General features: G+C 46.3%; 1 pseudogene; it reads right to left on the bottom strand.

Moving 5' to 3' along the window:
* Positions 3003–3428, bottom strand: FTLP13 (ferritin light chain pseudogene 13; annotated as a pseudogene).

Here is a 15266-nt window from a genome sequence, read left to right as displayed (position 1 = left end):
TGTAATCCCAGCACTTTGGGATGCTGAGGGGGGCGGATCACGAGGTCAGGAGATCAAGACCATCCTGGTTAACACGGTGAAACCTCGTCTCTACTAAAAATACAAAAAACAAAATTAGCCGGGCGTGGTGGCCGGCACCTATAGTCCCAGCTACTTGGGAGGCTGAGGCAGGAGAATGGCGTGAACCCCGGAGGCGGAGCTTGCAGTGAGCCGAGATAGTGCCACCACTGCACTCCAGCATGGGTGACAGAGCAAGACTCCATCTCAAAAGAAAAAAAGGAACAATTTTCTTTTCTGTGAATTGTTTGCTCCTGTCCTATGTCCATTTTCCTATTGTGTTATTAATCTGTTTCTCATATATTTATAGAAACCACTTACATATTGAAGAAATTAGTCCTTTCAGTGGGTGCAGTGGCCCATGCCTGTAATCTCAGCACTTTCAGAGTCTGAGGCAGAAAGATCGCTTGAGGTCAGCAGTTCAAGACCAGTCTGGGAAACATGGCAAGAACCTGTCTCTACAAAGAGTTTTTTAAATTAGCCAGGTGTAGTATGTGCCCCTGTAGTCCCAGCTACTTGGGAAGCTGATGTGGATCACTTGCGCCTGGGACATGGAGACTGCAATGAGCTGTGATTTTATCACAGCACTCCAGTCTGGGTGACAGAGTAAGATCCTGTCTCAAAAGAAAAGAAAAAAAAGAAAGAAATTAGTCCTTTAAGGTCAGGCGCAATGCCTCATGCTTGTAATGCCAGCACTTTGGGAGGCCAAGGTGGGCGGATCACTTGAGGTCAGGAGTTTGAGACCAGCCTGGCCAATATTGTGAAACCCTGTCTCTACTAAAAGTACAAAAAATTAGCTGGGCATGGTGGCACACGCCTGTGTTATAAATATTTCTTCCTTGTTTTTTATTTACAAAATATGTCAAGAGACTGGGCACAGTGGCTCATGCCTCTAAATCCCAATGATTTAGGAGGCTGAGGTAGGAGGATCACTTGAGGCCACGAGTTTGAGACCAGCCTGGGCAATATGGTGAGACCCCAGCTCTACAAAAAAATAAAAATAAAAATAAATTAGCCAGGCATGGTGGCACCTGCCTGTGGTCCCAGCTACTCAGGAGGCTGAGATGGGAAGATCACTTGACACCGGAATTCAAGGTTACAGTTAGCTATGATTGCACCACTGCACACAAGCCTGGGCAGCAGAGTGGGAGCCTATCTCTAAATACACACACACACACACACACACACACACACACAAACACACACACATATATATATGAAGAGATGCATTTCTATCATAGATTTGTTTACAAATGCCCCATTAGTATGAGTTAAATAAATTATGATATATACAACAGAAAGCTATGCAGTTATTTCAATGAAGATATATATTTATTAGCATAAAACAATGTAAGTAGAAAAATTAAGTTTAAAAAAGCAGGATAAAAAATAGAAAGCATTATATGATAACCCATTTTTTAAAAATCTGTGCTATGAATAGTTACCTCCAGATGATGGGAATTTGGTAATTTATTTAGGTAATTTTACTCTCTTCTTTTTACCATTCTAGATTATCTGATTTTTTTTTTTTTTGAGAGAGAGAGATTTGCTTTTGTTGTCCAGGCTGGAGTGCAATGGCGTGATCTTGGCTCACCACAACCTCCGCCTCCTGGGTTCAAGCAATTCTCCTGCCTCAGCCTCCCTAGTAGCTGGGATTACAGGCTCCCGCCCACCACACCCAGCTAATTCATTTTTTTAAATTTTTTTTGAGACGGAGTTTTGCTCTTGTCACCTAGGCTGGGGTGCATTGATGCGATCTTGGTTCACCGCAACCTCTGCCTCCCGGGTTCAAGTGATTCTCTGGCCTCAGCCTCCCAATTAGCTGGGGTTACAGGCATGGGCCACCACACCTGGCTAATTTTGTATTTTTAGTAGAGACGGGGTTTCTCCATGTTGGTCAGGCAGGTCTCGAACTCCCAATCTCAGGTGATCCGCCCACCTCAGCCTCCCAAAGTGCTGGGATTACAGGTGTGAGCCACCACGCCCAGCCCATGCCCAGCTAATTCTTTGCATTTTTAGTAGAGACAGGGTTTCACTATGTTGGCCAGGCTGGTCTTGAATTCCTGACCTCAGGCGATCAACCTGCCTCAGCCTCCCAAAGTGCTGGGATTACAGGCATGAGCCACCACCCCTGGCGTCATGCTATTTTTAAATGTGTTACAAACTTATGAAGAAGCATGTGGGTATCACATGGGGTATTAGGAAACAATTATAATAGTGTTCAGTATGCTTGGCAAAGTATAGCCATGTGATATAAAAGGCCTTTGTCAAAGCTACTACTGACACTGGAGTTAAGATAGGCATTAATCAGTAGAGTTTTCTTTTTCTTTTTTTTTTTTTGAGATGGAGTCTTGCTCTTGTCACCCAGGCTGGAGTACAATGGCACAATCTTGGCTCACTGCAATCTCTGCCTCCCAGGTTCAAGTGGTTCTCCTGCCTCAGCCTCCTGAGTAGCTGGGATTACAGGAACCCGCCACCACGCCTAGCTAAATTTTTTTTGTATTTTTAATAGAAACGGGGTTTTGCTATTTTGTCCAGGCTGGTCTCGAGCTCCTGACCTCGTGATCCTCCCACCTTGGCCTCCCAAAGTGCTGGGATTACAGGTGGGAGCCACGGCGCCTGGCCTTAATCAGTAGATTTCAATGGTTCTAGAGTCTGTCACTGGTTTGTTGATCCCTGGAGGGAATAATTGCTATTATGGTCTAGGGGTTGTGGGATGGCAGGTTTCCTCTTCCTGGAACATCCTTACCCTAAGAAGGTCATTAATTTGATTTCCCCACCCCAGCCCCTGCCCCCGTTTTGTCCCTGCAAATTTGATCCAGGCTTGGGAGAGGGCTCCAGGGTTAAAAAGCTGCCTAGTGGCTGGAGGGGGAGGCTCAGGCAGGCAGAAACCCTGATCCTTTGAGAGGAGCCTCTCAGAGGTCACTGGGCTCGCTAGGCTCCCAGTCATGCTTGAGGGTGGCCAGACTTTGGAAAAGACAGTTGCCTGGCCCGGCTCCAGGTGGCCAGCCCGCAGAGGTCAGGTGATCATCCACCCTCTTGACGAGTTTCACTCCCCCATCTAGGAAAGGCCTCTCTAGGAAGTCCCAGAGGTGACGTCTGTGTCAGCAGAACCCAGGTTCAGGCTCCTCTCCAGGGCCAGGGCTACCCCCACGGCGTCCAGGGTTTTATCCCATTCATCTCATCTGCAGGTCCTGCAAAAGAGCAGGCTGCCACGCTGGCTTTGCATCTTCCAGAGATGCTTGGCCAGTTCACCTTCCAGAGCCATGTCATCGTGGCCAAAGTAGAAGTCCAGAGAGATGCCGGTTGACGGGGCAGTTGGTGGCTGCCTCTGCCTGGGTGGAATCATTCTAACACATCTAGGAGCTCATGCTTGGGGACAAGAAGAAGATATCCACAAAAACGGTGTTGGCTGGGCCCAGAAGCAGGAGGTTGCCAAGAAGATGGTCTGGGAGGCTCAAGTGAAAAGGAGATGGGAGGCGATCACAGGCTGGAAGAGGGATCCCCCTGGTCTGTTCGTTCTAAACACTGTTGAAGCAAGAGACAGAGCCAGAACCCAACATGCTAACTTCAGGCAATGTGCTGTAGATTTCAAATGTGTGTTATGCATAGTTTTTTTTTAATGTGTGTTATTAATAGTTATCAACAAGCCTTATACCTTCATTTATTCCTTTGGCCCAGAAGCCATAAGGAAAAAGATTGTCAGATGATGATGATGATGATGATTGAGACAGGGTCTTGCTCTGTCGCCCAGGCTGGAGAGCAGTGGGGAGATCACAGCTCACTGCAGCCTCGACCCCCTCGGCTCAAGTAATCCTCCCACCTCAGTCTCCCGAATAGCTGGGACCACAGGTGTGAGCTACCATGCCCAGCTAATTTTTTATTTTTGGAGAGATGGGAGCTTTTTTTTTTTAATTAAAAACTTCTTTTTTACAAAAGACACCATAATTGAAAAGTGAAGTAAGGCCAGGTGCAGTGGCTCATGCCTGTAATTCCAGCACTTTGGGAGGCTGAGGAAGGCGGATCCCTTGAGGCCAGGAGTTCGAGACCAGCCTGACCAACATGGTGAAATCCTGTCTCTACTAAAAATACAAAAATTAGCCGGGTGTGGTGGCGTGTGCCTGTAAGCTCAGCTACTTGGGAGTCTTGAACCCAGGAGGTGAAGGCTGCAGTGAGCTGAGATCACACCACTGCACTCCAGCCTGGACAACAGAGTGAGACACTGTCTCAAAAAAAAAAAAAAAAAAAGTGAAGCAAGTCTGAAAGACAATATTTACCACAATTAAATAAATTATTAGTTGTTAGAATATATAGTCGAACAAATTCATACTAAAATTGGGCAAAGGAAATGAACAGATAATTTGCAAGACAAATTAATGTTAAGTAAACATTCAAAAGGTATCCAATCTCAGAAGTAATTGGGCACATGCAAATTAAAACAATCAAGTGTTGTTTTTGCCCCTCAATATGTTCAAAGTTGAAATTATTCATAATGTATAATATTAATGAAGTGGTGGAGGACTAGATACTCTCTCTTATGCAATACTGGTGGGAATTGATATTGGTACAGTCTTTTTAAAAATTGTGATCAACTATAAATACCAAAAAATGTACCGTTTAAGCCATTTTTAAGTGTACAGTTTCGTAGCATTAATATTCATTGTGTGTGACCATCACCACCATCCATCTCCAGAACTTTTTTCATCTTGCAAAACTGAAACTCTGTCCCCATTAAACACTAACTCCCCATTCCCTCCTTTCCCAGCCCCTGGCACCCACCATTCTACTTTATGTCTCTATGAGTTTGACTACTCTAGCTACCTCATATAGTGGAATCACACAGTATATGTCCTTTTGTGTCTGTCTTGTTTCATTTAGTGTAATGTCTTTAAGATTCATCCATGTGGTAATATGTGTCAGAAGTTCCATTTTTTTTTTTTTTGAGACAGAGGTTCGATTTTGTTGCTCAGGCTGGAGTGCAATGGCACGATCTCGGCTCACTGCAACCTCCGCCTCCCGGGTTCAAGAGATTCTCCTGCCTCAGCTTCTAGAGTAGCTGGGATTACAGGCACCTGCTACAACGCCCAGCTAATTTTTGTATTTGTAGTAGAGATGCGTTTCACCATGTTAGCAAGGCTGGTCTCTTTTTTTTTTTTTTTTTTTGAGATGGAGTCTCACTCTGTCGCCCAAGCTAGAGTGCCACTAGTGGCTCAATCTTGGCTCACTGCAACTTCCACCTCTCGGGTTCAAGTGATTCTCCTACCTCAGCCTCCCGAGTAACTGGGATTACAGGCATGCGCCACCACACCCAGCTAATTTTTGCATTTTTAGTAGAGACAGGGTTTCACCATATTGGCCAGGCTGGTCTGGAACTCCGGGCCTCGAGTGATCCTCCCACCTTGGCCTCCCAAAGTGTTGGGATTACTGGCATGAGCCACTGTGCCCAGCAGAATTTTTTTTTTTTTTTGAGACAGAGTCTCACTCTGTCTCCAGGCTGGAGTGCAGTGCCCTGATCTCGGCTCACTGCAACCTCCGCTTCCTGGGTTCAAGCGATTCTCCTGCCTCAGCCTCCAGTGTAGCTGAGTGGAACTACAGGTGTGCACCACCACGCCCAGCTATTTTTTCTATTTTTAGTAGAGACGGGATTTCACCATGTTAGCCAGGATGGTCTCCATCTGTTGATCTCGTGATCCGTCCGCCTCGGCCTCCCAAAGTGCTGGGATTACAGGCCTGAGCCACCGTGCCCAGCCGAATTTTCTTCCTTTTAAGGCTGAATAATATTCCATTGTTGTACAGTCTGTTGATGGGTAATTCTGTAATAATCCCCAATTTTTAAATGCCATAATCTTTGATACAGCAATTCTACTTCTAGTATATCCTGAAGAAATACTTGCACATTTGTGACAAGAGACATTTACAAAGATATTAATTGCAGTATTGTTTTAATAGTAAAAATTAGAAACAATATAAATACCATCAGTAAGGAGAAGGGTAAAATATGGTGTATCTATACCATGAAATATTTTGCAGCAGTTTGAGAAGAATAAGGCACATCTATATGTGTTAGCATGGAAATGTCTCCAAGAAAGATGGGTGTGTAATGCATAATTGCATTTATATATGATTTTTAAAGTATGTTTTTATATAACACAAACATATGTGACACATTGAAAACAATCTGGTCGTAAATACACCAAACTTCTAGCAAGTGGCACAGAAAAAGATGTGTGGGAAGAGGACATCTGGGAAGGGACGCTGAAAAAGGACTTCAATGTTTTTACTCACTCTCTGTATATCTGCTGGTCAAGTCCTTACAACTTGTATTGTATTCATTGTTATTTAAGTAAAAAATTAATACTGGGAAAAGAGGAAACATGCCAAACTGAATATACTTGGATCGTAGGGATAATGAGTGCTTTCTTTTTCTATATTTCCTAAATTTCATACACTGAGCATATATTACATTCATAGTTAGCATTAACATTATTTGAAGGAGAAAATTGTATATCTAGTGTAAGAGCAGCTGTGAACAAGGTGAGAGTAACTATATATGGAGATATCTATATACATATGCATGTTTACATTGTCATAGAAGTTCAGAAAGACAGGTATAAATGTGGTATTAGTGTGCTCACACAGCAATTACCAGCAATGTTCCTACTACCTTTTTTTTTTTTTTTGAGACAGAGTTTCATTCTTGTCGCCCAGGCTGGAGTGCAACGGTGTGATAGCCCACTGCAACCTCCGCCTCCCGGGTTCAAGTGATTCTCCTGCCTCAGCCTCCTGAGTAGCTGGGATTACAGGTGCCTGCCACCACCCCCAGCTATTTTTTTGGTATTTTTAGCAGAGACGGGGGTTTCACCATGTTGGCCAAGCTGGTCTGGAACGCCTGACCTCAGGTGATCCACCCGCCTCGGCCTCCTAAAGTGCTGGGATTATAGGCGTGAGCCACCGCGCCTGCCCCCCCCCCCCCCATTACCTTTTGTTTGTTTGTGTTTTGGAGACAGGGTCTCCTCGCTCTATCACCCAGAGGCTTGAGTGCAGGGGCGCGATCAGGGCTCTTCCTTTCCGGAAGGCAGGGGAGCGCTTCCCGAAAGAGGGATATTTCCGGCGAGAGAAGGAGAGGTCTTTCGCTCCCGCCTCCAAAGTTCCAATTCCCCAAATTCTGCATTTTCGGGCAGAAGGCTAGGAAGAGCGGGCTCTGAAGCCAGTTTCTCAGGCCACCGCGCCTCAGAAGCGGGACGGCGCGGCACCCGATGTCGCGACACCTGGTGGTGATGGTGACGCACAATTCCCTCTCTCACATCTTAAAAATCGCGCGCCCCTCACACACTGGCCGGTTTTTTGTTTTTTGTTTTTTTTGAGACAAGTTCTGCCTCTGTCCTCCAGGCTGGAGTGCAGTGGCACGATCACCGCTCACTGCAGCCTCGAACTCCCTGGCTCAAGCGATCCTCCCACCTCAGCCTCCAGAGTGGCTGGCTGGGACCACAGGCGTGCGCTACCATGCCTGCCAAATGCTTGGTTTTTTTTTTTGTTTGTTTGCTTGTTTTTTTGTTTGTTTGTTTGTTTTGTTTTTTGAGACGGAGTCTCGCTCTGTCGCCCAGGCTGGAGTGCAGCGGCACGATCTCGGCTCACTGCAACCTCCGCCTCCCGGGTTCAAAATGCTTGCATTTTTTTCAGAAACGAAGTCTCGCTATGTCGTCCAGGCTGGTCTCGACTCCTGGGCTCAAGCGATCCCCTCGCCTCGGCCTCCCAAAGTCCTGGGGATTACAGACGTGAGCCACAGTGCTCGGTGAGACTCCATCTCTTTAAAAGAAAGAAAAAAAAAGGCGTCGGCTGGGCTCTGTGGCTCACGCCTGTAATCCCACTACTTTGGGAGGCTGAGGCGGGCGGATCACGAAGTCAGAAGATCGAGACCATCCTGGCTAACACGGTGAAACCCCCGTCTCTACTAAAAATACAAAAAAATTAGCCGGGCGTGGTGGTGGGCGCCTGTAGTCCCAGCTACTTGGGAGGCTGAGGCCGGAGAATGGCATGAACCTGGGAGGCGGAGTTTGCAGTGAGCTGAGATAGCACCAAGGCACTCCAGCCTGGGCAACAGAGCAAGACTCCGTCTAAAAAGAAAAAAAAAAAAAAGCCCAGCGCCGTGGCTCACTCCTGTAATCTCAGCACTTTGGGAGGCCGAGATGGGTGGATCACCTGAGGTCAGGAGTTCAAGACCAGCCTGGCCAAGGTGGCGACACCCCGTCTCTACTAAAAATACACAAAATTAGCCGGGCATGATGGCGGACGTCTGTAATCCCAGCTACTCCGAAGGCTGAGGCAGGGAGGCGGAGGTTGCAGTGAGCCGAGACGGCGCCACTGCACTCCAGCCTGGACGGCAGAGCAAGACTCCATCTCAAAAAAAAAAAAAAGAAGAAGAAGAAGTTTTTTAATTAGCCTGGTGTGGTGGCAGGTGCCTGTAGTCCTAGCTACTCGGGTGGCTAAGGTGTGAGGATCGCTTCAGCCCGGGAGTTTAAGGCTGTAGTAAGCTATGATTGTGTCACTGCACTCCAGGCAGGGCCACAGAGTGAGACCCTGACTCTAAAAACTTAAATTACATTTTTTTAAAAAACAGCAAACACCTAATATTTGTTGAATGAATAAATAAATGAAAACATATACTCTCATTAAACGGTTTCTTCTGGGGATACAAGGAAAGGTGAGAGGGGAGTTTTTACTGGATACTTTTTTTTTTTTTTTTTTTTTTGCGACAGCCAGGCTGGAATGCAATGGCGAGATCTTGGCTCACTGCAACCTCCGCTTCCCAGGTTCAAGCTATTCTCCTACCTCAGTCTCCCTAGTAGCTGGGACTATGGGCGTGCACCACCACGCCTGGCTAATTTTTGTATTTTCAGTAGAGACAGTGTTTCACCATGTTGGCCAGGCTGGTCTTGAATTCCTGACCTCAAGTGATCTGCCCGCCTTGGACTCCCAAAGTGCTGGGATTACAGGTGTGAGCCACGCACCCAGCCTACTGGATACTCTTATATGCCACTGAATGTATTTTTATCAAGAGCTTGTATCACTTTTGTATTTTACAAAACCAATCAGGCTGGTCACCGTGGCTCATGCCTGTAAATGCAGCACTTCGGGGGGCAGAACACTTGAGGTCAAGAGTTTGAGACCAGCCTGGCCAACATGGTGAAAACCCATCTCTACTAAAAAATATGAAAAGCAGAGCATGGCTGGGGGCACCAATAATCCCAGCTACTTGGGAAGCTAAGGCAGAAGAGTCGCTTGAACCCGGGAGGTAGAGTTTGCAATGAGCGGAGATTAGGCCAGTGCACTCCAACCTGGGCAACAGAGTGAGACCCTGTTTTGAAAAAACAAAACTAAACTAGGGCCGGGCAGGGTGGCTCAGGCCTGTAAGAGAGGTGCTAATCACCTGAGGTCAGGAGTTTGAGACCAGCCTGACCAAACATGGTGAAACCCTGTCTCAACTAAAAATACAAAAATTAGGCAGGGTGCGGTGGCTCATGCCTGTAATCCTAGCACTTTGAGAGGCTGAGGCAGGTGGATTGCTTGAGGTCAGGAGCTTGAAACCAGCTTGGGCATCATGGTGAAACCCCATCTCTACTAAAAGTACAAAAAATTAGCTGGGCATGGTGTTGTGCGCCTGTAATCCCAGCTACTTGGGAGGGTGAGGTAAGAGAATCACTGAACCCAGGAGGTGGAGGTTACAGTGAGCTGAGATCATGCCACCACACTCCAGCCTGGGCGACAGAGTGAGACTCTATCTCAAAAAAAAAAAAAAAAAATTAGGTGGGTGTGGCGGTGCACACCTGTAATCCCAGCTACTCCAGAGGCTAAGGCATGAGAATTACTTGACCCTTGGAAGCAGAGGTTGCAGTGAGCCGAGATCATGCCACTGCACTACAGCCTGGGCAAAGAGTGAGACTCTGCCTCAAAAAAAGGGCAGAGGTTGCAATGAGCCAAGATTGCACCATTGCACTCCAGCCTGGGCGATAGAGTGAGACTCTCTCTCAGAAGAAAGCAACGAATTAGATAATTTTTTAAAATTCCATGTCCAGGCCTGGTACGGTGGTTCACTCCTGTAATCCCAGCACTTTGGGAGGCCGAGGTGGGCGGATCACGAGGTCAACAGTTCAAGACCAGCCTGGCCAATATGGTGAAACCCCGTCTACACTAAAAAATACAAAAATTAGCCAGGTGTGTGCCAGGCATGGTGGCTCATGCCTGTAATCCCAGCACTTTGGGAGGCCAAGGTGGGTGGATCACCCACCTTGAGATCGAGGCCATCCTGGCCAACATGGTGAAACCCCATCTCTACTAAAAATACAAAAATTAGCCGGGTGTGGTGGTGTGCGCCTGTATCCCAGCTATTCAGGAGGCTGAAGCAGGAAAATCCGTTGAACTTGGGAGGCAGAGGTGGCAATGAGCTGAGATCATGCCACTACACTCTATCCTGGGCGACAGAGTGGGACTCTGTCTCAAAAAAAAAAAAAAATTCCATGTCGAAATTTGTCTGTTAATTTTTCTGGTAACATATGCTTAAAGACAAGCTGCAGCAAAGTAGCAACTGATTAAGATAATCTATAAACCGGGCATGATGGCTCACGCCTGTAATCCCAGCACTTTGGGATGCCAAGGCAGGCAGATCATGAGGTCAGGATATTGAGACCATCCTGGCTAACACAGTGAAACCCCATCTCTACTAAAAATACAAAAAATTGGCCGGGTGCAGTGCCTCACACCTGTAATCCCAGCACTTTGGGAGGCCAAGGTAGATGGATCACCTGAGGTCAGGAGTTCAAGACCAGCCTGACTAACATGGTGAAACCCTGTCTCTACTAAAAATACAAAAATTAGCTGAGCATAGTGGCACACACCTATGGCACACACAATTCTGGTCCCAGCCACTCAGAAGGCTGAGGCAGGAGAATTGCTTGAACTGTTGCGGGATTCAGGAGGACGAGAGAGACCTCGGGTTGAAACAGGAGAATATTGAGTGCACTCAGGCCCGGCTGACTCACGTGTAAAAGACTGGGCCCGGAATAAAGACAGCACCTGACTTTTATACACACTTCAGAAAAGGGGGTGGGCTAGCTTGAAGCAAGGTTACAGTGGCATGAAATCAGGGATACAGAGGCAGGACAAAGACAGGATTGCACATGACTGTTGCCAAGCAACCCAGATGTCTGTTATCTAGGTTTGTCAGGGCACAGGCTTATCCTATAACCTTCACTATGGTGCTCAGGCAGCTGTAGTTCAGGCCTACTCAGGCTTCTTGTGACCTTCGTTGTACTTCTTAGATAAAACAGAATACTTGAAGTCATTAGTTACAGAGAACAAGAATCTATAAACTCATTCCATAAAACAAAGGAAAATTTGTTTTTCTTCTCCCAATGTTGAGGGAGTGCTGGGAGAATCTCCAGAGCACATTAGATAATATTATCAAGACTTTTCCTGGGTCTGGGCTGTGCCCGTTGCTGCACAAGTCAGCCTAATATAGGAAAACTTATTTCTCTTTCTTCTAAATTTTATTTTTCGTTCATTTTCCGCCTCAGAACCTGGCAGGTGGAGGTTGCAGTGAGCCGAGATTGAACCACTGTACTTCAGCTTGGGCAACAGACCAAGTCTTCGTCCCCCTCAATATTTGAATTGTTCTAGTTTTTTTGAGACGGAGTCTTGCTTTTCCTTTTTTCATGCTTTTTTCTTTTCTTTTCCTTTCTTTTGAGACAGAGTCTCACTCTGTCACCCAGGCTGGAGTGCAGTGGCGGGATCTCACTGCCACCCGAGTTCCAGTGATTCCCCTGCCTCAGCCTCCTGAGTAGCTGGGATTACAGGTGCCCAGTGCCATGCCCAGCTAATTTTTGTATTTTTAGTACAGACGGGGTTTCACCATGTTGGCCAGGCTGATAGTGAACTCCTGACCTCAGATGATCCACCTACCTCATCCTCCCAAAGTGCTGGGATTACAGGCGTGAACCACCACACCCAGCCTGTATTGTTCTATTTTAAAAGTAGAAGATCCAAGCCCAGTGTGCAGCCTGCCTCGAATTCACAGCAGCATGTTTCTATCATCGAAAGACGCCTAGAACCAAGCACAATCAGCAGTACTAGATACGGAGACAGGAGACAGGGCATGGCTTGAACACTGTTTCTCAAATTATGAGAAATGTTATGTCATTGAAAAAGAAAGTGATGGCCAGGTGCAGTGGCTCACACCTGTAATCCCAGCACTTTGGGAGGCAAGGTGGGCAGATCACAAGGTCAAGAGATTGAGACCATCCTAGCCAACATGGTGAAACCCTATCTCTACTAAAAATACAAAAATTAACTGGGCGTGGTGGTGCACACCTGTAGTCCCAGCTACCTGGGAGGCTGAGGTAGGTGGATCTCTAAATATCTCAGTGCTGGCTAGCCTCAGAAACTTGAGCCTTGCTTAGTCCATTTTCTGGAATGTTGTTTTCCAGATCCTTATGTGACTGACTTCTGCTTATTCTCTCAGGAGATCTTATCTCGAAGCATTAAGAGCAAGAACTCTGGAGCCAGCCTGTCTGGGCTCAAACCCCAGCTCTGTGTGCCTAAGTGGGTGGATAGTTGTGAAAATCAAATAAGCCAGTTCATGTAAAACCTTAGAATAATGCCTATTGCATGGTAAGCGTAAATAAGAGTTAACTATTATCATTCATTAATAATAATATGTCACCTCCTGTTAGAATCACATGAACCTGGGAGGTGGAGGTTGCGGTGAGCTGAGAACACGCCACTGCACTCCGGCCTTGGGGACAAAGAAAAAAAAATGATTGCCAGACGCAATGGCTCACACCTGTAATCCCAACATTTCGAGAGGTCAAAGTGGGTGGATCATTCGAGGCCAGGAATTCAAGACCAGCCTGGCCAAACTGGTGAAACCCTGTCTCTACTAAAAATACAAAAATTAGCCAGGCATAGTGACACATGCCTGTAATCCCAGCTACTCAGGAGGGTGACGCAGGAGAATCTCTTGAACCTGGGAGGCAGAGGTTGCAGTGAGGCGAGATCACACCACTGTACTTCAATTTGGGTGACAGACCAAGACTTTGTCTCCCCCACCAAAAAAAGGTGAGGCCGGGTGCAGTGGCTCACGCCTGTAATCCCAGCACTTTGGGAGGCTGAGGTGGGTGGATCACCTTAGATCGGGAGTTCAAGACCAGCCTGACCAACAAGGAGAAACCCCATCTCTACTAAAAATACAAAATTAGCTAGGCGTGGTGGCTCATGCCTGTAATCCCAGTTACTTGGGAGGCTGAAGCAGGAGAATCACTGTTGAACCTGGGAGGTGGAGGTTGCCGTAAGCCAAGATGGCACCACTGGACTCCAGCCTGGGTAACAAGAGCAAAATGCCATTTCAAAAAAAAAAAAAAAAAGTGAAACATAAGTGAAATTGAAAATTGGAAAACACTGGGTTAAACAATGTTAAACCAGTTCCTATAAGGTAGAACTCCTTAGAGACTTAAATATGCTAATGTACAATTGTAGGACATTGTAGGTCTTCAGGAGGGAGATAATGGATAACTCCTTGTGATCACAGCATCGTTTTTCGTACTGGTTGTAATGTTTGGAAGATAGTTTGGGGAAACACTGATATCAGAAATTTCTGAAGATAATAGTGTTTCTTAAAAGGGGCCCTGGTTAGTGTTGTGTGGTTAGAATAGGTTTTAGAATTTTATAGGAGCTGTCTGGGACCTACTGGCGGAGAGTGAACTTCACCACCCAACATTTGATGATTAAAAAAAGTGGGAGGCCAGGCACGGTGGCTCATGCCTATAATCCCAGCACTTTGGGAGGCTGAGGCGGGCGGATCACCTGAGGTCAGGAGTTTGAGACCAGCCTGACCAACATGGTGAAACCCTGTCTCTGCTAAAAATACAAAATTAGCTGGGCATGGTGGTGCCTGCCTGTAATCCCAGCTACTCAGGAGGCTGAGACAGGAGAATCACTTGAACCTGGGAGGTGGAGGTTGCAGTAAGGCAAGATCGTGCCATTGCACTCCAGCCTGGGCAACAAGAGTGAAACTCTTTCTCAAAAAAGAAAAAAGAAAAAAAAAAGTGGGAGATCAGCTGGGCGCGGTGGCTCACGCTTGTAATCCCAACACTTTGGGAGGCCGAGGTTGGCAAATCAGCGGAGGTCAGGAGTTCGACACCAGCCTGACCAACATGATGAAACCCTGTTTCTACTAAAAATACAGAAATTAGCTGGGCGTGGCTGTGGGCACCGGTAATCCCAGCTACATAGGAGGCTGAGACAGGAGAATCACTTGAACCTGGGAGGCGGAAGTTACAGTGAGCTGAGATCGCACCACTGCACTCCAGCCTGGGCGACAAGAGCAAGACTCCGTCTCAAAAAAAAAAAAAAAAGTGGGAGATTAAGAAAGTATAAAACTCAGCTACTTGGGAGGCTGAGGCAGGAAAATAGCTTGAATCCATGAGGTGGAGGTTGCAGTGAACCGAGATCATGCCACTGCACTCCAGCCTGGGTGACAGAGAGAGGCTCTGCCTCAAAAAAAAAAAAAAAAAAAAAAAAAAGATAAGAAAAAAGTATGAAAAAAGGAAAAACCTCAAAACCTACTTCCTTGTTGCACTGAGGAAACTAAGTACTTATTGTCAGACTAAGGAAACTAAGTGCTCATATACTAAATAATTATTGCTGCGCTAAGTACAAGATCCTTTCCCAGAACCCAACATGTATCTAAAGCTTCCATTTAGAGTTAGCTGGGCCTGATTAAAATAGAGTCATGGCTTGCCTGCTCAGATTCTTTGAAGAATGAATAAAGTGTAGCTAAAATGAAGTGTGTCGCGGTTCAGGAAGTCTCATGAGATAAAGTTTCTAGAGGCCCTATAGGAGTGATAGAGATTGAACCAGAGATTTGTGCAAAATGTCTACTCTATCCAGAAACACAGTCTGACTTCAGGGCTGTTATATTGCTGGCTCTTAAACATGGAGTGCTTGTGGACAATGCTGATGTTATGTGGGTGCCAGATTTAAGAATATCTAGAGAGGAGCTGAAATATACCTCCCTTTAAAACTACTCCTCTATTCTCCTGAAGCAACCATTGTTAACAGTGGCCCACCTGTCTTTGTGCTTAGGCATATTTTTTCCTATAGCATTTTTTCCTCTATTGGATATTGCCCCACGAAGTTCCTATCACCTTCATTCAGTT

Source organism: Homo sapiens, chromosome 17 (genome assembly GCF_000001405.40).
Source record: "Homo sapiens chromosome 17, GRCh38.p14 Primary Assembly".
Lineage (NCBI taxonomy): Eukaryota > Metazoa > Chordata > Mammalia > Primates > Hominidae > Homo > Homo sapiens.
This window is presented reverse-complemented; position numbering and strand designations above follow the sequence as displayed.